At 36.5% G+C, this 24,890-nt stretch overlaps 1 long non-coding RNA gene and 1 pseudogene across 1 annotated transcript, besides 6 other annotated features; one reads left to right on the top strand and one right to left on the bottom strand.

The window, feature by feature from the left end:
• Positions 1 to 24,890, bottom strand: part of LOC107986665 (plasminogen-like protein B) — a 124,780-nt pseudogene that overhangs the window by 1,240 nt on the left and 98,650 nt on the right.
• Positions 1,765 to 24,581, top strand: LOC112267969 (uncharacterized). The gene is made up of 2 exons (XR_002956374.1): positions 1,765 to 1,835; positions 24,344 to 24,581. It is a non-coding gene; the product is annotated as an uncharacterized LOC112267969 (long non-coding RNA).
• Positions 5,966 to 6,166: a silencer, noted in NCBI's record as "peak6295 fragment used in MPRA reporter construct". NCBI's record gives its function as "represses an SCP1 promoter by STARR-seq MPRAs in K562 erythroleukemia cells {active_cell/tissue: K562}" and the evidence as "EXISTENCE:reporter gene assay evidence [ECO:0000049][PMID:32103011]".
• Positions 7,831 to 8,636: an enhancer, noted in NCBI's record as "OCT4-NANOG hESC enhancer chr6:161309865-161310670 (GRCh37/hg19 assembly coordinates)". NCBI's record gives its function as "activates a minimal SCP1, AML or CMV promoter by ChIP-STARR-seq in naive H9 embryonic stem cells {active_cell/tissue: H9 hESC(naive)}" and the evidence as "EXISTENCE:reporter gene assay evidence [ECO:0000049][PMID:30033119]".
• Positions 8,906 to 9,106: a silencer, noted in NCBI's record as "peak6294 fragment used in MPRA reporter construct". NCBI's record gives its function as "represses an SCP1 promoter by STARR-seq MPRAs in K562 erythroleukemia cells {active_cell/tissue: K562}" and the evidence as "EXISTENCE:reporter gene assay evidence [ECO:0000049][PMID:32103011]".
• Positions 13,226 to 13,426: a silencer, noted in NCBI's record as "peak6293 fragment used in MPRA reporter construct". NCBI's record gives its function as "represses an SCP1 promoter by STARR-seq MPRAs in K562 erythroleukemia cells {active_cell/tissue: K562}" and the evidence as "EXISTENCE:reporter gene assay evidence [ECO:0000049][PMID:32103011]".
• Positions 14,069 to 14,701: an enhancer, noted in NCBI's record as "OCT4-NANOG-H3K27ac-H3K4me1 hESC enhancer chr6:161303800-161304432 (GRCh37/hg19 assembly coordinates)". NCBI's record gives its function as "activates a minimal SCP1, AML or CMV promoter by ChIP-STARR-seq in naive H9 embryonic stem cells {active_cell/tissue: H9 hESC(naive)}" and the evidence as "EXISTENCE:reporter gene assay evidence [ECO:0000049][PMID:30033119]".
• Positions 19,026 to 19,958: an enhancer, noted in NCBI's record as "OCT4-NANOG-H3K27ac-H3K4me1 hESC enhancer chr6:161298543-161299475 (GRCh37/hg19 assembly coordinates)". NCBI's record gives its function as "activates a minimal SCP1, AML or CMV promoter by ChIP-STARR-seq in naive H9 embryonic stem cells {active_cell/tissue: H9 hESC(naive)}" and the evidence as "EXISTENCE:reporter gene assay evidence [ECO:0000049][PMID:30033119]".

The following is a 24,890-nucleotide window of genomic DNA, read 5'->3' as shown; positions in this document are numbered from 1 at the left end:
TATACTGAGTAATATTACTAAATTGAGTTTGTGTTCCTGAATTCCCAAGTAAAATAAAATACATTAAAAAATCACGAAGTTCAAGGCAAATATTGTTTCTTCTATACTTTCTTGAAAAACTCAAAACCTAGCCCACTGGGTCTTTACTCCTTTATGGCAACAAAAACACTGTTTCCGAGTAGCAGCTGTATCTTTGAAAAGGGACTATGTTCTTGCAATAGCATCCAATTTGGTTTCACTCATCTGTAATCAGCTTGGCACATGTAAAAATGTGTTTGTAACTATTTCAGAGTGTCTAGCAGAACAGGTGAGGCAGTATAGATCAATGAGAATTTTGACCCTGACTAGAATGTATCACGTTCAAAGTGCTTTTGTACATTCAAGGTCAGTAAATTACCTTGATTTACTGTCCAAGCCCTGTTGTCTGCAATCTTATTTTCTACCTTAATACTGTTTCCAATTCAGAGTCTATAAAAGCATCTCTTTCTTGGATTCCAGTGTTATTTGTTTTACCTGCATACACTTATTCCTACTATAGCGTTATGTATATAAAGAGTGTCTATTGTAACTGGAGCTATTGGGATTAATATTCTTATTTTAGAATATAATAGTTTTGCCCGTTTGATATAATGCATTTTAATCTGGCCAGTAAAATTCAACCTTCTCTAAACTGCATGTAGTTTAAAATTTTTAAACTCCTTATCAGGTAAAAACAATTCATACTAATGTTCACTAAGCATTGTCGTATTTTTCCCTAGAATGTTTGCATCCTTTGAAATGTCTACTAATGGTACAGGAAAGTGTCTAAGTGTCTATTTTCCTTCATCTCCTCTTCTGACTTGTAATTTCTGTACATTATTACTTTTTAAAAGATGTAAAACTGTCCATCAAACTCCAACAATTATCTATGCAAATGCAGTACACACACATGCACACGCACACACACCATCTGGAATTCCCAACATCCTTTCTTGTGATAGCACTTTTCGTTTTGTAATGCCATTGAATTTCATTTATTGGAAACACTCCTAAGAGACCCAGGGATTATTACACAAATGTCATTTCATTAGCAGGTCAGCTCTCTCTAGGCTTCCTGAAAGCCAGAAAAGAAGACTTTAGGCTTATTACTTTGGGAGCGATTTAACCAAAATTGTGTATCTTCTGCTAGACATGAGTGGTGAGTCATAGAGGCGATTTAATTCTAAATCTTACTAAAGTAAAACTGCATACTTTTATATTTAGAGATAAATGTGGAGGAAAAGGAGAGAGAATACATTGGGAAAAGAAAGAACAGAACTAAGATTTGCCTCTTTGTTCAGTGAGGACAAAATTCAAACTATCTCCTTTGCAAATAACTTTATGCATTACATTTTATTTAGAAATAGGATAATAGAAACTACAAGTATTAACTTGAGTTGTTTAATGCATATACAAATATATGAATTAGTGTTTTTTTTTTAAATTTTGGCAAAGAGCATAGGCATTCTCTTCTAGTTATGAATAAGGCTCAAATTTTTTTTTTAAACTAGAGTTCCTATGAGAAATGGCAGGTCTCATTGACTTCACTGGATAGTGCTGATATGTATATAAAATGTCCTTGAAGGAGCTCAGGCATGTGGGTAGAATGTTAAGAAGTGGGGTGCAAGCAGTGACTTGTGTGCTTGCTTGTTTTGACCTGCCCTTTGTGTTTTCACTGTTGTTAAGAGAAGGGCTGTCCCAGGAGGCTGCTGCCCTTCAGCCTGGGTCTCAGAATCAGATGTGGAGCACACCTGAGAAAGGTAGGCCTGTGGAGTGAAGCAGAGCTACCCTGCTAAATCCAGCTGACTCCCAGACATGTGAGTGAACCCAGCTGAGATCACAGAGCTTTATTGGTGGATGTGCAGATCTGTGAGAAAAAAATTCTTATTGTTGTATGCTGCTGGTATTTGGGGACTGTATATTTTGAAGCAATAGCTATAGCTACATCCTGCAACAGAAGTTTTGAATATTTTTGTTTTCCATTTGTACAAGATAGTCCTTTATCATGTAAAGACCTGATTTAAAAGACCGTTTTATGTGAATTTACCATTAGGTAAATTTCCTGATTTTTCTTCATCTCAGAAAAACACTCTTCTATTATTTCTTTCATTAGTGCTTCTAAACCATTGCTTCTGCTTTCTTGTTAAGGAAACTCAAGTGTATTTGTGTGGACTTTTTATTCTCTTTCTTTTTGTTCTCTGTTATCTCAGCATTGGTCACATTTTAACCTGCATTCTGAGTGGACTTACTATTTCCTCCACATCATTGATTCAATTTTCTATAGTCCAGTTCTTTTTTTTTTTGCTCATAATACAGCTTTAAGCCCTCAAATGTAGCTTTCCTTTTTAATGATTTATTTATGCTTTCTTTTTTAGATATATTCTTTTAACTTTTGAATTTATTTCTCATTTTTATTTTCCAGTAATTTGGACTGAGAACACAAACTATTTTATTTCTAGAACATTCTTCTGTTTTTCAAAACAAATTCCTGTTGGTGTGCCCTGCTGTTATAATGATTGCTCTGGAATTCTTGTTTTCAGAGTTTAAGCTAAGAGTGATTTTCTAGTCAGCTCCTTTCTAGTTAAACGTGTGATGTTTAGTCCTCCGTGTGTATCTGCTACCCTAAGGAGGAAACTCCTAGTTTGTATTCTGTTATTCTTTCTGGCTTATGATTTTTGTTTGTGTCCCAAATATAGAAAAGGCAGTTAAAGGGGTGAGGGTTGGGGTTAAATTTCAGTATGAGAGTTCTCAATAATAGTCTATTAATAAAGCATTTGATTAGTTTTCCCCTAAAATGCACTTGTTGGTAAGTTATAGATATTCTATATCCCTGAAATACAGTACTTATTTGACAAATACTGCTTTTAAATAAACAAATAATAAATATATCAGAGTGTTTCCCATTTGGCCGATGGAATAAGTCATTTTTATTTTTTAAAGTTTCTTTGACTTTTAGCAGTAGTTTTCTAGAAAACCTGTGGTATTTACCCTGTATCCACTACCGCAAATTGAGAACAGCCTGTCAATATCTCCACATTGTACATATGTGGCTTTCTTACTCCTTATTACCTTTAAGCTAGAAAAAATTGTATTCAGCAGAATGGAGCATATCATTCAAGAAACTTTTCTATTAAAGCTCTATTCCAGATGAAGGAAGACTTCGAATCTCTAATCAAGATTCTGTTTTAGTTGTGTTATATATTCCCATTTAAAATGAGGTATAACAAAAAGGTATTAAACTGAAAGTCCTGGGCAGGAGAAAAATGTAAATGTCTTCAGTGTTCACCTCTATATCTGTTCTTAACTCTTCCCCATCCTGCCTACTGTTCTAGGAGACAGACCAGAAACAAAAAGGAAGGGAAGACTGGGGAAAATTGAGTCTGAGGGAGCTATAAGTGAATGGACCTTTAAGAATGGCCAGAGCCTGTAATTCCAGCACTTTGGGGGGCCAAGGCGGGCGAATCATGAGGTCAGGAGTTTGAGACCAGCCTGGCCAACATGGTGAAACCCCGTCTCTACTAAAAATACAAAAAATTAGCTGAGTGTGGTGGTGGGCGCCTGTAATCCCAGCTACTCGGGAGGCTGAGGCAGGAGAATCACTTGAACCTGGGAGGTGGAGGTTGCAGTAAGCCGAGATCGTGCCACTACACTCCAGCCTGGGTGACTGTGCGAGACTCCATCTCAAAAAAAAAGAGGCCAGAGTATGAAGAGTTTTATGTTTTCTTAAATCAAACAACTAGTGATGAGAAAACCAGGGAAAGAAGTTTAATTAACCTTCTCAAATCCACAGAATGGAATGCATTATAAATTTGTACATGTAGAAGAAATACCTTTAATGTTTGACTCTATATTGAAATAACTGTAAACCCCTTCAGGATGGAACAAATTACAGACGGTGGGAAATACATATTTAGACTGTACAAAAGAAAGAATCTATGACAAGAGATGTAGGTCTAGGAGTCATTTAAGATGAATCTTTAAGTCACCCAATGAGATTGGCCAGAAAGACATGGGGACATTTGTGTCAACAGCACGCAAGTAAATAGAACAGCACAGACACTAAAAAAGAATAACCAAATATGAGAATTCACATTCCAGAGTGAAAATCATGAGCAGGAGCCACATCCTGAACAATCAGGGGATAAAGTGGCCACAGGACACATGAGGCAGAAATGATGGAGGTGTGAAAAACCTGGTTTAATTCTGGAAAACTAAGTCTTACTATTACAGCGATCTTTTTCATGAGAGAATTTTAAAGAGATAAAAATTTTAATCAATGCTACTTCTCTTAAATGCTAAGCCTTATTGTTACTACTTGTCAAGTGCTATAGCAAACCACAAAAGTGGAAGATTAAGAATATACCACCAGATTATAATTGTAAAATATTTGAGATCAATACATGAGCTCATATGCAGTGGGTGGAGTGAAAGTCAGGTATCAGTGGATTGAGGAGTGAGGGACCTAATGACCACTCTGATAACCTCTATAGCAATTTATTATTATCATTTATTAACACATCAGACAGGGTAGGTAACATGTTTAATGCAATCCTGTAGTCATTCAAGGAATTTTGGTTTTCTGAACGTTGAGTAAGAGTGGAAGTAAAGAGTATAAAATCTACTTTTCATGCATCTTTCATGAAAGAAAGGGGTAGAGTTAGGGCCAACTCTGAGGAAGGGGTAGGATCTTTGTCCTTAAATTCTTAAAAATCAACATTAAAAAAATAAAAAAGATGTAGTTTAGTGAAAAGGACATTGTACATCAGATTGTTTTCTGCCCATCAGAAATACAGAATTTCCGAATGAAGTTTAAAAAGCTTTAAAAATATAGTAATAACAATAATAGAAATAAAACAATTTTTTTTCTTGATTCACCTTTGAAATGTACATGTTAGAATAAAAATAGTTCTGTTACATAAGCTCTTGCCTTTCAGGAAGCAATCAATTCTGTAAGTTATTGTGGGAATTCAAAAGACAAAATAATATTACAATTAAAAGTATGTCAAGAGTGGTGTGTGATCATTTTATTTATGTAACTACTAACAAATTACTGTTTTGAAAACAGGGAAATTAACTATCATTGTGATGTTTTATGATTTAATACAAGAGCTTTGATTCCATGGAGTTGGATTTTTAAAGCATTTAATTATGAGAAATATTTAATAATTTCAAAGAAGTATCTTGCCATTTCCTGGACTGTGAATAAGATTATAAATCACATTTCCTTCAAAATCCTCAAATTATTTTTCCATTAAAAACAAGGATAGAACAGAAAATATTACATCAGTAGATTTAGTTTTAGAAAATTTAGAAGGAATTGTAAATAAAGATACTCCCCTTCCCCTCTGCCCCAAAATATGTGTGGCCCTCAGAGATCAGCAGACAGCCTCCCGTGGCTCACACAATAGTGTGGTTTTATCCCATGATTTTCCACCCTAGATGCTTTCTTTTTTTGGGAATATTGTTTCTTTTTCTTTTCTTGACCCAGGTCCCTCACCTCTCTCATAATGTCTTAGTCATTAGGCCCCAAATGTTTGGAAAGCTTCCACATTGAGTTGTTTTCTCTCTGTTTTTCATGGCATGCCTGGAACATTTTGTATTATAGGAAGTTGGGAAAAAGCAGCCAGAAATGACTGCTGACAAGTGAGAGGTCTTCTGTCCTCACTAAAATACAGTATAACTGGAACTTCCTGACATTGGTCCACCTTAGCTTAACCCCTTCGCCATAACTTGCCACTGAGAACCCTGGGGAAGGTTCTGACTTTCCTTCTACTTAGTGAGCATTCTGCTCATGTGTCTTCATACTCCTAGTAAACCTCTCTTAACAATTTATGGTTTAAAATTATCAGGAAACCAAAAGGCAAGAAAGGGGACAAGGGAGAAGTGGATAAAGTTATATGGCTTTATATTTTAGAAAATATGGTCCATAAATAACAAAGTACTTGCTGAAGTGGGGCAGAGCAAAGAAAATCCTTGAAAACAACACATGTGGAAATTACTATTTGTTGTAGACTCCAATGGTTCAGATACAGAATCATGATTAAAGACAGAAGTGATTTATTTCAGTAGAATCACAATGGAGAGAGCTATCAGATGCCAGAAAGTAACCATCTCTCTGAAGTTCAAAGGCTGCAGACAAGGATAATACACAACTTTGTCTCCTGAAAGATTGCATGTTTAGATAGTGCTCTCATTATCTGAGGAAAGGTAGACTAAAACAAACAAAATAAAAACAAAACCAGTGTATTTATGTCAAATAATTGCAAAAAACAGAACACAGGCATACCATAAACATGATTTAGTTGCATACAACAAAAGCAAAACTTAAACAATTAATAAACAGAAGGAAGGTATTGGTATGTACCCAAATTGCAAACATTTATTTTTTCCACTTATCAAGTATTTGTGTATACCTTTCCTTTCCAGGCCTATTCAGAGACTAAAATAGACATGTTCATTGACTGCGGATGTCATGAGATGTACAAGGTCAGACATAATCAGATACAGGCATGTTTGTATCTTTTTATAATGTAATGCCCAACCTTGTTTTTTACTAACCCTGTTCTTAGACTCTCCCTTTCCTTTAATCACCTAGCCTTGTTTCCACCTGAATTGACTCTCCCTTAGCTAAGAAAGCCAGACAGACTCCATCTTGGCTTTTTCACTGGCAGCCCCTTCCTCAACGACTTAACTTGTGCAAGCTGACTCCCAGCACATCCAAGAATGCAATTAACTGATAAGATACTGTGGCGAGCAATATCCGCAGTTCCCAGGAATTCGTCCGATTGATAATGCCCAAAGCCCAGCGTCTATCACCTTGTAATAGTCTTAAAGCCCCTGCACCTGGAACTGTTTACTTTCCTGTGACCATTTATCCTTTTAACTTTTTTGCCTACTTTACTTCTGTAAAATTGTTTTAACTAGACCCCCCCTCCCCTTTCTAAACCAAAGTATAAAAGAAAATCTAGCCCCTTCTTCGGGGCCGAGAGAACTTTGAGCTTTAGCCGTCTCTTGGCCACCAGCTGAATAAACGGACTCTTTAATTCATCTCAAAGTGTGGCATTTTCTCTGACTTGATCAGGTACAACATTAAGGTCAGGCTTTTACTGATGCTTATTTATTCATAAAAGCCACAAGCTACAGGGAGTTCCCAAGGAGACAACTCTCCTTAGCATTATCTCTTCACTTGGCAGTCACAGCCAAGAACACACAGGCTCAAGCTGATCTACAAGTTAGTCAATATGGCAAACCATACATAGTAGTATAATTAATACATGCATATGGTAGATTAAAATTTCCACATCACAGTAACATTTAACATTGAGAGAAAACTGTGTAGTATAGGGAAAGATGTTAATGAACCAGTCCAAGGATAGCAACATGGACAAGGAGACTGTCTTGGACTAATCCAGGCGCTTGTCAAAGTCTTGCAAGGGAGAGTTCTTGATTTGGGCAGAGCCTTTAGCAGCAGATGCTAGGCGCTGCCCAAGAGTGACAGCAGGACAATGTCTAATGAGATGACTGTGTTGAACTGATGAAGCCCTGTTCTTCGTACCTCCTTGCATCCTCTGGCGAGGGCTGTCTTACGCCTCAGTCTTGTTGGGTATAGACTCTATTGATTAGACAAACATCTGGTCCCACTGATATGATGCCATTTGAAATATAAGATGAAGTCTTTTTCTAAAATGGAGTTACTTATGTCTATGGTGCTCTATACAGTGGATATTGTAATTTTGAAGAAAACATAAATAATTTTTTATAGATATACTTCTGGATATGTGAACCCCAAAAATCCGAGACACGTTATCAGTTAATTTAGAAAGCTTATTTTGCCAAGGTCGAGGACGTGGGCCCATGACACAGCCTCAGGAAGCCCTGACGACATGTGAACAAGGTGGTCACGGCAAAAGTTAGTTTTATACATTTTAGAGAGACATGAGACATCAATCAATATATGTAATAAGTACATTGGTTTGGTCTGGAGAGGCAGGACAACTTGAAGCAAAGGCAGGAAGACTGGAAGTGCGAAGGGGACTTCCAGGTCACAGATAGGTGAGAGACAACAAACAGTTGCATTCCTTTGAGTTTCTGATTAGCCTTTCCAAAGGAGGCAATCAGATATACTTCTATCTCAATGAGCAGAGGGATGACTTTGAATAGAATGGGAGGCACATTTGCCCTGAGCAGTTCCCAGCTTGAAAGGGCCCAAGGTATTTTCCTTCCACATTTTCCCCCTTTTCTTCTTAATCTTTTGCAGAAAACATTTTAGAAGAAAATGAGCCTCTGGTGTCAGGTTTCACCTGATCTCTTATGGTTAGGACGGTTTATTCCTAGATGGGTAGGTCCCAAAAGCTCATTTTTAGCAGGTTGTGAAGTCTCACATCCTATGAAGAGAAATTAGGGAGAGGAGGGGAGAAAAACAACAACAAACAAAAGAGCAATCCTGGAAAACTGATATAGGCCACATTACTCTGAAGTCTATACAACAGTAGGCAGGTATGAAAGTGGCTTATGTATGTAAATAGATTGCTGTTATTTTCTTCTGAAGTTTAGGTTGTCTGGTTTGAGTTTGCAGGGTTTAAAGAAAGCATAACTTAGTTTTCAGTGACTCCCAATTAGGAAAAATGGAAAAAAAGAAGGAAATAAAAGAAAACATTATTCTGAAGACTTGGAAAAACATTAGGCAAGATTAGATCCTAACAACAGGGGTACTATAGTTTTTGAAACATAATTTTTCTCTCTCCAGTTTCCCATTTTGCTAAAGGCAAATCGAAAATGGTTTTCTTTATTATACTTGGCCTAATTATTTGTATGCATTGCAGCAAGAATAATTATTTTTACATAGGCTTTTAAATTGGCTTTAATGGAACTTTGTTCCATAGAAGGAATCTCAGATAAAACTTTTTAAAAGCTGAGCCCAGCCATGGATTCGTGCCATCAAATATCTATGAGTTGGGTATATTTCCTCTCCTCTTGAGGTTCCAAGATAAACCTGAGGCTTCTGGGCCTGTCAGAAAGTGACATTCTTTACTTAGCACAGGTCAGAAATCCTGTACAGGGACTGCGTACACAGAATATGAGGCCAGTTTTTCCAAGGGCTTTATTGGCTCCATAACTCAAGTTTGATTCCTTAAAGGAGAGCACACCATTCCAGTTAAAGTCTTGGTCAAATAACCAGTTTCTCCAATTATGTCCTGTTACAAATGAAAACAGATTCTTTTTTTTTTTTTTTTTTTCTTTTTTGAGATGCAGTTTAACTCCTGTCACCCAGGCTGGAGTGCAATGGCACGATCTTGGCTCACTGCAACCTCCACCTCCTGTGTTCAAACAATTATCCTGCCTCAGCCTCCCAAGTAGCTGGGATTACAGATGCCCACCACCATACCCAGCTAATTTTGGTATTTTAGTAGAGACGGGGTTTCACCATGTTGGCCAGGCTGTTCTCAAACTCCTGACCTCAGGTGACCCACCTGCCTTGGCCTCCCAAAGTGCTGGGATTAAAGGCATTAGTCACCACTCCTGGCCTGAAAACAGTTTCTTGTTGCACTTATGCACATAACTATATTACCATAAGTTAAGAATACTCACAAATAGTTCCAAATTCTGGAGAAATCAGATAGAAACAAAAATGCTCCAAATTTTGTTCATAGGAGTATACTAAATTTTTTAAAGCTGTCAATAGCTCAAAAGAAAAGTTTTAAGACTCTGAAAAACAACACAAAGGATCAGCAAACATTAAAAGTTAGGAAGAATAGTTCAGTCCATGCAGTTAATTTCTATTCTGCTTGATACTCATGAACATTTTAACTCTCCGTGAGTCCTGAACATTTTTTTCTCTGTTCCAATGTTACAATCTTTGAAGTTATCAGAATCTTGCACTCAAGAGCACCTGTTGAAGTTTTATAGCTGATTATGAAACCAACTTCTAAAGAGGACCAAAACAAGACAATTGTCCATGGATGAAAAAAGGTTTTAGGGCACCCATAGTCAAAGACACAATTGACAAAGAAATGTATTATTACTGTGGCACACAATAACTTTAACATAACAATCATTACTAATAATGTACACTAAGTCATATCAAAATAACAGGAGTTTTCCATAATTTTGGAACACTTACCAATAACATATTTATACAAATACAGCCCAAAGAAAATAAAGCACCATTTAATATTTGACAATTCTTCTGGTATAATTTTTTTTTACCAAATAAGCCAACTTATGTCATTTTTGGACTTTAGGGAAACTAATATCTTAAAGGATTAATTAGGTCAGAAAAAGACACAATTTGTAGTTTGACTTTGGAAAGCTTGTCAAATATAAAAGGTTTAAGACACTTGATATCACAAAATAGGATTACAGGCCATTGTGAAGTCATTCATGTAACCAAGTGGTAACTCAAGCATTTCAAAAAAGTGAAAACCTTCATTCTTTGAGAGAGGAGACTTAATTTTCCAAATAAGAAGTCCTAATAAAAATAGCATGAAGCCAATTAAATGTTTTCCCAAATTTTGCAACCAATCTATAAAATTTAATCTTGATCATAAAATATAAGTTCCATAAGCCTTTTATAACTTTTATAACCTTTATTAAGGAGTTGGTTAATGCCTCAAGAAAACCTTGCTAATCTGACACAGTGGTCCATATGCTGGTCTTGCATCAGTGTGTCTTTGACATTAATGATTAATTTATGCAGAAACTGAACTTATTTTATCTTTTAAAATCGGCCCTTACAATCTTACATGCCCACCTCTTCTGTGATAGTCCCTGGGCCTTGAGAAGTTGAATGGCTTTCCTTTCTGGCCCTGTGTCTCAGGAATGCAGTTTATTTTGATTGGCATCTTCTACAGGGCCTGAAGATGAGGCTTTAATTGCTGTCAGTGTTTAAGATTTAGCAGGAATTGGTGTCCTTTTTAGACCCAGGAGTCAAAGCCCTGTAACTCAATGTCACAAAAACTTTAAAAGCACATACAGGAAGATATATGGATGTAATAACCTTAATTCAAAAAAATTATCTCAGTTATTTTTCCTAAGCAAACCAAAACTTAATCATAATATGACAAATTCATCATATACAAGTTTTTGGGTTTTTTTCCTCAAAATAAATCCTCTTATTGTGACTTACACTAACTGTTCATAACATGCTTGGGACCTTCTGGTTTGTCCTGAGTATTCCTCCTTCTGAAACAACCCGTCATTTTCTCTAAGACTAAATCTGCCATATAAGATTCTTTCTCATATAAAATTGTTTCTCTTTAAGCTTTCTTACCATGCACACATAAAATCTCTTTATTTTTATAACTTTTTTACATCTCTTTTTTATTTCCTGGTTCCTTTTACCTTGTTTTATACATAACCTTTAAATAAGCTTTGAATTAGATAAAACGTGTTCACCTATTTTTTTTTTTAAAAAGGACACACTTTTTTTTTTGCAAGAATATTCTCCTACAATATAGATTGGAAAATACCCAAATAATGAAATCTCTATTATTTAATTTAACTTTAGATTCTAAATTATGACATTTGTCTACAAGTATTTATCTCATTACATTTACCTAATTATTTTATTTTAATTGTTTACCTGGATTATTTATGAAAACTGTGATAGTTATGATTTAAAGTTATAGATTGCCATTGCAAAAATATAACTGAGGCAGTGAAAAAGATATGACCTAACTGACTCCATCTTGCTTCTAGCCTCCAAGCTGTCCTTCTTCGTTCCTGGACTTTGGGAGGAACTTAATTTACAGTCTAGCTTTGAAACAAAGACAGTAACAGTTTTTTCCCAGAACAAACCTCCTTACTGCCTGTGGACTAGACTCCCTAAAGCCAAGATTAGAAATTATGGTAATCTTCCTAAATTTAAGATGCAGATGTTCATTAAACCGATATCAATGTCTTATTTATTAAAAATTACACAGCAAAGATCACTCTGCTTTGGGCTAGGTTTATAGTTTTGTAACCCCTATGCCAAATTTTGACATCTTACACTATTTGGCAGGGATAAGCATGAAATTGTCTGATTAATAAATGCAAAAAAAAAGTATGCTGGCAATTCCTCAGACATTTCTAATATTACTTTACTAATAATTTTAAAGCTGGCTTATTTATTAAAGCTTTTACTTAAGTTCCATAAACTCGAAAAAGCATTTGACTAGTCTTTTCTTTTTTCCTGATAAAGTATTTTATTTAAATGCTTTCATTTTTCTTTAAGCCCTTTATATATTTTTCAGTAGTGAAACATTGTATACACAATACATAAATACATAGATGTATTGGGCATGTGGATGGAAGTACATCTTATAGATTCAATAAGACCTTTTTTTTCCCTATCTTAGACTTTTAGATCCTTGATAACCTGTTTTACAACCCGAGGCAGTTGATAGCTAAATAGGCTTAAATTTGCATATTAAAGGAAACAACTCAGTTGAAAATTAAATAGCAAAATTTCCATCATAAGGTACAGAGAGAAAAAGTCTGGTGGTACTCGAGGGAGACGCTTTTATAGTGTACTTAAAAAAACTTTTTTTAAACAAAGACATTTCTGAGTGTCTAAACTACATTCTCCCTTAAAAACCCAAGCGTAGCCTCTGTTGTAATAACTATTTTAGTCAATAAATCAGGTGAAAAGAGCATTCAGTCAACTGATAAGAAAGAAAAAAAAACTTTTGCTCAAAAAAAGACAAGGTCTTAGGAGAGAAAAACAAACAAAAAAACCCAAAACAATGAAGGCCTTTTAAATACAAATATGCACACGTGCACACATACACACTCACATCTTGGATGTTATCCTTCTAATTAAGCTGACTTTTAATCATTGAACTTCTTTAAAAAATATTTTAAAATCTCATTACCATATGTCAGCTAGGAGAAAATGCTGCTAATTCAGTAGTACAGCCATTCCTCTTTCAGTTTGGTTTGACTGGCAAAAAGGTGGCCTTGTTATGTAAATAAAGCCCCTTTTGTAGTCAAAATTAAAAATCTTTTCCCTTTTTCTTTTTCCCTTTTGCTGGCCATTTTCCTCCCACTTCAAAGGCCTTGTTCCCCATAATTCAGAGTTACTCTTTGGATCTGACCAAGTTGGGACGTATGTCAGACCCAAAATGTGCTGCTCGCAGACCTAGCTCTTCAGAGTCATGACCCCCTGAACCTGTTCTGTCCGCCCATGTCTCAGCCACCTGGCACAGTGTGTCAGGGCCTCAAGGTTCGGGAGGGGTCAGCTCCTTCTATGTACCTGCTGGTTGAGATTAAACTCCAAGTATGTTCTTCTGAGGGGGAACCTATTTAGAGCCACTGCATGTCTTAGGGAGTGTTTCTCCCAGACACCCTCAGGTGATTCTCAGTTGCCTGAGAATGCCAGGAAAGGCTGAGGGGAGCAAGGTGCTCTTATTTCTTTGGAGTGGAACATTCCACATTAGTGAGCTAGAAGGTTTGGAGTTGGTCAAATCTGATAAGGGAAAGCACTGAAACAAACACACACACAAACCCAACGAGACAGTTAAGAAACAAACAACAAAACAGTTAAGGAAAACTAACAATGATCACACAAATTATATGATTTCTGAGTGCTCTAAGTGTAAGCAGAAATTAAAACCAGCTGCTTGTTAATGCTAACCTTAGTTGTTTAAAAAGAATTTGCAAGACAGAATCCCAAACCAGTTTCTTACCTTGTGATGGGTCTCAGGCTGTAGACTTCACTCTCCCATCCTAGCAGCAGGGAAAAATAAAACTCCTCTTCCCTGCTGGCAGCGAGCTCAAACTCCACAAAGGGGTTACCTGCTTTCCATCGTCATGGAAGTAGGAAGACATGCCTTCCTTGTTGGAAGCAAGTAAAACTCAAAAAAAAAAAAGAAGTTGTACAGCAAAATAAACTTTAGATCTTGACCAAATTTTGAAAGGTCAGGGATTCACTGAGGAGGTGCTCACAGGCCTCAGCAAGTTGTCCCATTGGTTTGAGCCATAAAGTTAGCTGATGCGGGTACCAAGCACCCACAGGAGATTTGTCACAGGCCAGGGGCATCTTCACTCAGAATCCCCCTGTGGTTACCAAAATGTGAACCCCCAAAATCTGAGACAGGTCTCAGTTAATTTAGCAAGTTTATTTTGCCAAGGTCAAGGATGCACGCCTGTGACGCAGCTTCAGGAAGTCCTGACGACACGTGCCAAGGTGTTCGGGAACAGCTTAGTTTTATACATTTTAGGGAGACACAAGACATCAATCAATATATGTAAGAATTACATTGGTTCAGTCTGGAAAGGCGGGACAACTTAAAACAAAGGCTGGAAGACTGGAAGCGGGGAGGGGGCTTCCAGGTCACAGGTAGGTGAGAGATAATGAACGGTTGCATTCTTTTGAGTTTCTGATTAGCTTTTCCAAAGGAGGCAATCAGATATGCATCTATCTCAGTGAGCATAGGAATAACTTTGAATAGAATGGGAGACAGATTTGCTCTGAGCAGTTCCCAGCATGAAAGGGCCTAGGATATTTTCCTTTCACAATCTGTATGTGACTCATTACAAGCTGTAATTTGCAGTCAGGGTTACAGGACTATGAAAGTCAGGCTGCCATCTGCACCCTTTGTGTATGGAGTTTTTTTTCCATGTGGTGAGAAAAAACTATTGCCACCTCTGGGATAACAATTCTATACCACTCGGATCCAAGGGAAAAATAAATCACTTTATAGCTCACTTTGGAAAAAACTCTCAGGAAAAATCTTTGATGGTCACGTCTGAAGGCATATGCAAACAATATTAAGATTTTTTAAAAAATTTGTTATGTCTCTTTCTCTACTTTTAAGTTTTAGTCAAAATTTTAAAAATTGAAAGTATTTTACTAGAAATATTTATCAAGAAAAATGTAGATGCAAAATGATCAAGTTTGTGATTTCTGGAACTATCTAAGCATTGCAGTTATGAGAAAAAGAATCACAAAGGAAAATGCAGATAATGTTTCTAAACCTTTAAAATTAACAATAAAAGACCAGAAACAAAATTAAATGCAATTACAAACATAAGAATATAGAGAAAAGGATAATGTTCTTACACATTAAGAAGAAAAACATGAATTATCCAAAATAATATAGATAAAATCTTTTTAAAAAAACATCCAAAAAGGAAATACAAAGAGCCAAGAATCATGTGGAAGAACGTGGAGAAATAATCAGCATCATAAACATAAAAATAGTTTTCTGTTGTAATCATGGCACTTAAGTATTGGCGTAGGAACAGAGCAACAGACAGAATACAGAGAAACAAACAGAATAAAGTCATAAATAGACCCACACATATATGGTCTTAACCTTAAATTTTCACTTCTCTGGATTAGGCCAAGAATTTTTAGATAGCTCACAAAAGGCATACATGAAAAAAATGTAAGTTTGCACTTTATCAACATATTGTATTATTAATTCCATTATTTGATGTCTGTTTCTCCTGTTTTCTCCTGCAAAAATCCTCATCAAATGTATGTTGACAGCTTGTATACATCTTAACTTTGTCTCTCAATTCCTCAGCCCCGCTTTCCTTTCTTGTGTAATTTATTTGCCCATTACATTTTCTTATATACCTAAGCATATTTCTGAGAATATTAAATACATGTACCTTAATGTCACTTTCTGTTTTTAATAATTTTTTGTGTAAATTCTTCCATGTGATGGTTTTCATTTTTCTTTTATTCTGCTGTTTAGTTCAAACATTTGTTGACTATTCCTTGGTTTTTACCATCTGCAGCAGAATTGATTCTGTTCTCCATGGGGCCAAAGTAGCAGAATGCCTACAGGTCCTTGGTGGCTTCCCTTGTGTTACAAGCAGGTTTGTGCCTTAACCTTAAATTAGCATTTGCCAGCAGCTCAGTCGAGCTGGAAGAGAGGGCTGAACTTCCAGATGTTGGAATAGTTCAGAAAAGCAAAAATGAGTCAGGAATGAAAGAGGAAAATAAACACAGCTCGTATTTTAGGAAATGTCAACAAATTACCTCATCCATTAAGATAATTTCCCATTTGTTCTTTTATTTTTTATAAAGGCTCTGTCCTCATTAACTTATTTTGAACAGTTTTAACATTTCTATTGACTTGGTGCATTTGAATGTGCATAAACACATGTCTCAAAGTTTATAGACTATGTCCATGTGCACTGCTTACTATAGTTATATCTGCTGAGTGGGAAGAATAAGATGATGTTTCCCAATTGCTTGTTCAGACACTTTAACATTATTTGTATGCTTTTCAATTTTGATGTTAATATTATACTTTTTAAAAAGGTATAAGAACCATCAGCAAGGTAAAATTCTGCTGGGAAGTAAACTAAGATTGTGATTTTTCTTATTTACTTTTTATTTAGCAAAATACAATAGCCCATTAGTAACCTTGATGACAGTGGTCTTAGTGATTAAGTTTAGTAACCTCCGAGAAAACTTTAAAAAAAATTGTTAGGGAGTTAAGTCTGGTTTTTTAATTCAAACTATTTTAACGTTGATTAAAACAATTTTCAAGAAAAGATGGATTCCTAAACCTGCAAAATTTTAAGGTGCTTAATAAAAAGACATGGTTGCCTCACATATCTTATGCTTCTCTTAGAAAGTACATACTAATATATAAAGACAATTTCTGACAAGAAATAATATGTTAAACATTAACCACATTTAATATTCAATTTTTAGATTTAACATTAAAATTTATCAGATATAAAAGTATTTTATGAAGCTTTAATTGTGTACATATATTCTTTTTGATATATACATATTTTTTAATTTTAACTTTTGTTTTAGATGTGGGGGTACATGTATAGTTTTGTTACATGGGAATATTGTGTAATGCTGAGGTTTAGGGTACATATCCTGATATGGTTTGGCTCTGTGTTCCCAACCAAATCTCATCTCAATTGTAATCCCCACATGTGGAGGGAGGGATCTGGTGGGAGGTGATTGGATCATGGGGGTGTATTCCCCCATGCTGTTCTCGTTATAGTGAGTGAGTTCTCATGAGTTATGATGGTTTAAAAGTGTGTGGCTTCCTTCACTTTCAATCTCTCTCTCTCTCTCTCCTGCCACCTTGTGAAGAAGGTGCTTGTTTCCCCTTCACCTTCCACCATGATTCTACATTTCCTGAGGCCTCCCCAGCACTGTGGAACTGTAAGTCAATTAGACCTCTTTTCTTTATAAATTATCCAGTGTCAGGTAGTTCTTTTTAACAGTGTGAAAATGGACTAACACAGATCCCACCACTCACATAGTGAGCATAGTATCAGATAGGTGTTTTTCAACCCATGACCCACTCCCGCTTTCTCTGTTTAGTGTTCTACAGTGTCTATTATTCTCATATTAATGTCCACATATGCTCAATGTTTAGTTCCCACTTATAAGTGAGCACATGTAGTATTTGGTTTTTCTATTCCTAAGTTAATTTACTTAGGATTATGGCCCACAACTATATCCATGTTGCTGCAAAGGACGTGGTTTCATTTTTGTTATGGCTGTATATTATTCCATAGTATTTATGTACCCCATTTTCTTTATCCAATCTATGCTGCTGGGCACATAGGTTGACTTCATGTCTTAGCTATTGTGAATAGTGCAGCGATGAACATATGAGTATATGTGTCTTTTTGGTAGAATGATTTATTTTCCTTTGGGTACGTACCCAGTAGTGAGATTGCTGGGTCAAATAGTAGGTGTCTTTAAGTTCCTTGTGAAATCTCCAGACTGCTTTCCACAGTGGCCGGACTATTTTGCATTCTCATCAACAGTATATAGTATTTCCTTTTCTCTGAAGCATCAACAGCATCCATTATTTCTTGACTTTTTAGTAATAGCCATTCTGACTGATGTGAGATGGTATATCATTGCTGTATTTGCATTTCTCTGATGATTAGTAATGATGAGCATTTTTTCATATGCTCAATGGCTGCTTGTATATCTTCTTTTGAGAAGTGTCTGTTTCTGTGATTTGCACATTTTTAATAGGGTAAATGCTTTTTGCTTGTTGATTTGTTTAAATTCTCTATAGATGCTTGTATTAGCCCATTCTCACACTGCTATAAATAACTACCTGAGACTGGATAATTTATAAAGAAAAGAGGTTTAATTGACTCACAGTTCTGCATTGCTGGGGAGGCTTTAGGAAATTTACAACCATGGTGGAAGTTGAAGGGGAAGTAAGCACCTTCTTCACAAAGTGGCAGGAGAGAGGGAGAGAGAGAAAGAGAGAGAGAGACTGAGACAGAGAGAGAACACAAAGAAAGCCACACCCCCTTTTTTTTTTGAGATGGAGTCTTGCTCTGTCACCCAGGCTGAAGTGCAGTGGTGCGATCTTGGCTCACTGCGACCTCTGCCTCCTGGGTTCAATCAATTCTCCCACCTCAGCTGCCTGAGTAGCTGGAATTACAGGCACCTGCCATCACACCTGGCTAATTTTTGTATTTATGAAGAGACAGGGTTTCACCATGTTGGGAGGCTGGTCTTGAACTCCTGACCTCAGGTGATCTGCTTGCCTTGGCCTCCCAAACTGCTGGGATTACAGGCATGTTGTAAGTCACTGCACCTGACCAGCCACACACTTCTAAACTATCGTATCTCGTGAGAACTCACTCACTATCACAAGAACAGACATGGGGAGACCTGTGATCCAATCACCTCCCAACAAGTCCTTCCCTCAACATATGGGGATTACAAGATATAGGTGGGGACACAGAGCTAAACCATATCAATGCTGGATATTAGACTTTTGTTGAATGGATGGTTTGTGAATAACTTCTGCTATTCTGCAGGTTGTTTCTTTGCTTTGTTATAAGTTTCTTTTGCTATGCAGAAGCTCTTTAGTTTAAGTCCCATGTGTCTACTTTTGGTTTTTTCTTTTGTGTTGACTTTAGTGCATCTGATGACCATGTGCCCTGGGGATGGTTGTCTTTTGCAGTGTCTGGCTAGGGTCCTCTATATTTCTTGGATTTGCAGGTCAATCTCTCTAGTGAGATTAGGGAAATTTTCATGGACTATGTCCTCAAATATATTTTCCAAGTTGCTTATTATTTCTCTTTCTCTCTCGAGAATGCCAATAAGTCATAGATTTGGTCTCTTTGCATAATTGCGTATTTCTCAGATGTTTTGTTCATTTTTCTATACTCTTTTCTCTTTATTTTTGCCTCACTGAGTTGACTCAATTAGCTGTCTTCAAGCCCTGAGGTTCTTTTCTCTGCTTGGTCTATTCTGCTGTTAATACTTCTGATTGTCTTTTGAAATTCTCGTAGTGAATTTTTCAGCTCAAGAAGTTCAGTTTGGGTCTTTCTTAAAATGGCTTCTTAGTCTTTCAACTCTTGAATCATTTTACTGAATTGCTTTGCTTCCTTGGATTGAGTTTCAACTTTCTCCTTGTCTTGATAAGCTTCCTAGCCGTCCAGATTCTGAATTCCATGTCTGTCATTTCAGACATTTCAGACTGATTAACCACTGCTGGAGACCCAGTGGGCCTGTTTGGAGGTAAGGGGACACTCTGGCTTTTTGAATTGCCAGAGTTCTTATGCTAATTTTTTCCCATCTGAGAAGGCTGGTGTTAACTGTGATGGAAATCTAGTATAGTCAGTTGGCTTTGTTTCTGGAAGGTTTCAGAGGGCTAAGACTCTGTACAGGGTCTTTGTTGTTGAATTCTTGCCCTTGGTTTATCAGCAGGGAGAATTAGCGGAGTGACTTGTTGTTGTTTTTGGTAGTTTGGGCTGCAATCCGGTAGATAGTGCTTGACAGCAATGGTTGGTAGACAGGCTGTTATTTGCAGTATGACTCCTTTGCATATCCTTGGATTTGCAGCTATGCTCTGTGGTGCAAGGGGGAGACAGGTGACCCCCTCACCAGGTGCACTCCTGGAGTCTGGGGAAGCTGCCTCTGATCACTGGCACTTTGCCAGCCATTCCATTTATTTATTTATTTATTTATTTATTTATTTATTTATTTATTTTTAATTTGATGTTTCAGCCTCAGGGCTCCCTTGGACAGAAGTCCAGTATGAAAATAGGGCACATCCTTACTGGACCTGTCCTGTGGAGGTAAGCACATCTAGGTCCTAGGCCAACCTGTGAACCTCTGCAATTCACCCTTCTCAGTTTTCTGAGAGTGTGGGGTCCTCCCCGACTTGAGTGCAGGGCACAGATCCTGGCTAGGTAATCCTGAGCCATGGGCCAGGGCTCTGGGGTACCAGGACCTGCTTGCAGCTCCCTCCTCCAGACCGTTGGGACTGAGTCCCAGGTGTGCTGTCGGATTCGAAGGGCTCCCAGGCTTCCAGAATGCACTTAGGTGGCGCAAAGCACCCAGAGTGGGCAGTGGAGTTATGTTGTGTACAGGCTTCTGCAGGGTGGCCAGGGAGGAGCCCTACCTAGGAGGGGCTGGCAGGCAGGTGGCCTGTGGGACAGATGTGCCCCAGTCCCACAGGGAAGGTGGCTCTGCTTTCTCCCCAGTGGTTAGCTAGGGCCAGAGCCTTCAAAGGGAGATAGGCAGCCCTTGGTGGGTTAGGCTCTGCCAAAGCTGTCCCTAGCACAATGTTTCCTGGCACCAAGCTTGCAGCAGCTCTGTCTCTGTCTAATCTCTGAAGACATCCACCAAGCAGCTCAAATGTCCGTGGCAGGCGTGAGGTCTCCAGTCTCCAAATCCTTTCACTTACCCCTTCCTCAGACACCATTTGGGGCCAGGAAGCAGCCCCAGCATTCAGTTACCCAACGCGGAGTTTCCAGCTTCCTTCCTCTTTAGCCTCAGTGCCTGCATCTTCTCTACATCCACATTCGACATCTTCTTTACAAAGATCTGTTCAAATTATGTTGATTTAGTCAAAATCTCAGCCTTTCTCCATGGGAGAAGCACTTCCCAGCTGCATTGAGTTGGCCATCTTAAGACCCAGTTGATGTATAATTTTTAAATATTTAATAGAAACTTTAAAATATTTGTAAAATTAATCTTACATTATCGTACTGCTCATTCTGAATTGTCAGCTTCCATGAGTTTAATCATTAACTTAACTGTCTGAACTATGTATTTTTCAAATGAAAACAAATGACATAATTATTTGGAATAATTTTTATAAAGGTGGACAACACGATGTTTCTGTAGTATTATTAAACTACTAATATTTGGGCAGCACTTAGCAAGTTAGGTAACTGACTTGATAATTTGCAAAACTAATCTCATTGACTCTTCTTCTAGTCCAGATATTATTTTCTCTGATAAACAACCATTGTTTGTAAAATCACCGTCAAGGAAAGATTAAAATAGTTCGATTTAATGAATTAAAAGAAATGGAAGTTTTGTTTATTAAGAGGAAGAGTTCAGAGATCTGAGCTCGATACAATATGAGTATACATCTTAAATGAAATAAAGGGAATAATGGGAAAGGAAGAAATCAAATGATATCTCAATATTTTTCATCAAGGAAAATATAGGAAAAAACATTTGCCTATATTTTCTTAAGGGCAAAATGTAAACATCTAATTAAAGTAAAGATGTAAAGGACAGGCAATACAGCTTTATTAACATACAGCTGATTTTCATTGATTGTCCAACATCCTTGATGAACATTAGATTTTATCATCCACCATCTCCTCAGGGTCCAGCTGGGAGGTGGTGGGTTTTGACAGTTGACAAACACAGCTGAGCTTTATCTATTATTCACAGTTTTCTATATGAATTTCTGTGAATAAAGTTTTCTATTAGTAAGTTTTTAATAGTAAAATTGAGAATGTTTTTCTTATTGCCATTATTTTATTCTTTTCTTTTTATACAATTACATTATGTTACAGCATCTTTTTTTGTTTTTTGTTTTTTGTTTTGAGACAGAGTCTCGCTCTGTCGCTTAGGCTGGAGTGTAGTGGTGCGATCTCGGTTCACTGCAAGCTCCGCCTCCTGGGTTCACGTCATTCTCCCGCCTCAGCCTCCCGAGTAGCTGGGACTACAGGTGCCCACCACCACGCCCAGCTAATTTTTTGTATTTTTAGTAGAGACGGGGTTTCACCGTGTTAGCCAGGATGGTCTCAATCTCCTGACCTCGTGATCAGCCTGCCTCGGCCTCCCAAAGTGCTGGGATTACAGGCATGAGCCACCGCGCCCGATCTACAGCATCTTTTAATACTGTCAACCTATAGAAGATAGTCAGAATTTTGTTGTATTTCCTTACAAGTTCTACTGACTTAGAACTCCACTTTTTATGACTTGCATATAGATATCATTTACCATCTTCCATTGATCAATGTATTGATCTGTATACTGGTATGACAACATTTTCATAATTTTAACTTCAAAACATACCTTCATATCTGATAAGGCAATTAACAACTAACGCTGTGTCAGTTAAGGCACAACCAGAGAGGAAGAACCAAGAGATATGTATATATATTAAGATATTTATTTCAAGGAATTGGTTAATGTGATTATGCAGGTTAGGTAAGCAGGTTTAAAACATATAAAACAAACCTTTAGGAAGAGCAGGCTGGCAATCTTGAGCTGTTATTCATGAGGAGAACAACTTCATCAGGAATCCCAGGCTGTGTTCTTAAAGCCTTTCAACTAATTGAATCAGGCCCACTCAGATTATCTAGAATTGCTTATCTGGGATAATCTCCCTAATGTAAAGTGAATTGATTATGTACTTTCACCTCCTCAAAAAAATGCTTTTACCTCATTGAATACATTAATGTTTAATGAATGACTGGGGACTGTAGTTTAAACAAGTTGGCATAAGGAAACATAATCACAACTCTCATTACTTTTCTTTTTCAATACTATTTACTAGCTGCTGCCTTACTCCAAATAAATACCAAAGTTGCTGAAATATAATAATATAAAAGTTATAAAAATAATTCGTGTTTATTATTGTTCAAAATTGCAATATCTTTTGCATAAGACACAGAATATAGTCACTATAAAATGCAAGACACTTTAAGCAAATAGAAATTGAATGACAGTTATTATAGTGAAAGCAAGTTAAAATCATTTTGTTTCTAAATTAATTCCGAAAGTGTTTGTAAGTTTGTCTGCCAAATTGCAGGTCAAAAAATTTCAATAGAATTGCCTGTTCATCAACACTCTTTTGGAAAGCTTCTAATGTATCAACTATCTCTTGAGTACAAAACAGTGTGACAATATAAAACATTTTACACCTAAAATGTATCAGTTAATTACATATTAAGAATTCCTATCAGGTACTAATCTTTTTTTAAATTAGGAAATATAGTAGATTATCATCAATCTTTTGAAGAAGAGAAGCACTGCTGATTATTGTATAAATTAATGGAACTGCAGATTGTTTTATATATATGTATATATATATGATGTTTTATATGCATGTGTGTATATAAAACAATGCCAAATTATCTCTTGGTATTCACGGGACATTGGTTTCAGGAGTCCCATGGATATCAAAAATCTGTGGATGCTCAAGCCCTTTATAGAATATGGCATAGTATTTGCGTATATCCTACACACATCCTCCTGTATGTGTTAAGTTATCTCTAGGTTACTTATAATACCTAATGTAATTTAAATGTGATGTAAATAGTTGTTATACTGTATTATTTAGGAAATAATGACAAGAAAAAAATCTGTACATGGTCAGTACAGATGCAACCATTCCAACCATTCATTTGGTTAAAAAATATTTTTGATCTGTGGTTTGCTGAATCCATGGATGTGGAACCCAAAGATATGGAAGGATGATTACAGATGTTCAACTATGTGTGTGTGTGTGTGTGTGTGTGTGCACTGTGTGTAAGTATGTGTGTATGTGTTGTAGGTTAATTTTTTATTATATATATCGTTATATACACGCACACCATTGTTGATTTGTCTTACATTTTAATAATGGGATTTCAAATAATATTAATTTTAATGTGGACATATCATAAGTGTTTAATTAATGGGATTTAAAATTCTGATATCCAAGGCTCAGAGCTACATTTGTTAGGTTGGTTTATTTGCTGTCCTAAATTAATGATTGTGGTTCACACTAAGAATAATCAATTGGTATCTGCTGGTAATAATGACTCCTAGACATATTTTGTTTTGCTGTGTTGCTTGGCTTAGCCCAGCATTTTAGAATGCAGTGTAATTAGGGTCACAATACCAGCATTTTATTGTCATATACACACTACACTTCTCATGTTTTATGATCATTGTATTTCCTCTACCAGCATTTAAGTTTCTGAACTCTTCTCTAAAGGTAAAGCATAATGTTCATTATTAATTAAAAAATAATGGGAAAATAACCACTACATATGCTTTTACTATGCAACAAATAATCTTCTAAATGATTTCATGTGTTAATTAAAACTCTCTAAGTACTATTATTATGTCTGCTTTTAGATGAGGAAGCGGATGCATAGCAAGTTTAAATAGCTTGCAGAAGGACACACAGTTTGCAAGTGAAGGAGCTCAAATTCAAAGACTGGCAGTCTGCATCCAGAGTTGATCATCTTAAATACCATGCTGAACCGGTTGCTCTCAAAGTCTAAACAGTATTTTTTACAATAAGATATCCTTTTGTAGGTCAACGAATAGTTTCTAATTCTTTTTAAAATAAAATACAATGAACTGAATACAATTTAATGCATCAGAGTAAATTTTACATAGCAAAGTATGTATTATTTTCTTTCAGCTATGCAATTCCACTAGTATGAGGTATCTACTGTAGTGAAACTCACAGAAACAGAAAGTAAAATAGGGGGCTGGGGGAAGTGGGGCAGGGGAGGGAAATAAGAAGGTTTGATTTTGCAGGATGAAAATATTCTGAAGATTGGTTAAACAACAATGTGAGGATACTTAATACAATTGAACTATACAATTAAAAAGGTTAAGATGGTAATTTTTACGTTATTTTTGTATTTTATCAAAGCTAAACATTAAAAAAGTT

The sequence above is a fragment of the Homo sapiens genome, chromosome 6 (genome assembly GCF_000001405.40).
Source record: "Homo sapiens chromosome 6, GRCh38.p14 Primary Assembly".
In the NCBI taxonomy this organism is placed as follows: domain Eukaryota; kingdom Metazoa; phylum Chordata; class Mammalia; order Primates; family Hominidae; genus Homo; species Homo sapiens.
The sequence above is the reverse complement of the archived record's forward strand: the minus strand, read 5'-3'. Positions and strand labels throughout refer to the sequence as shown.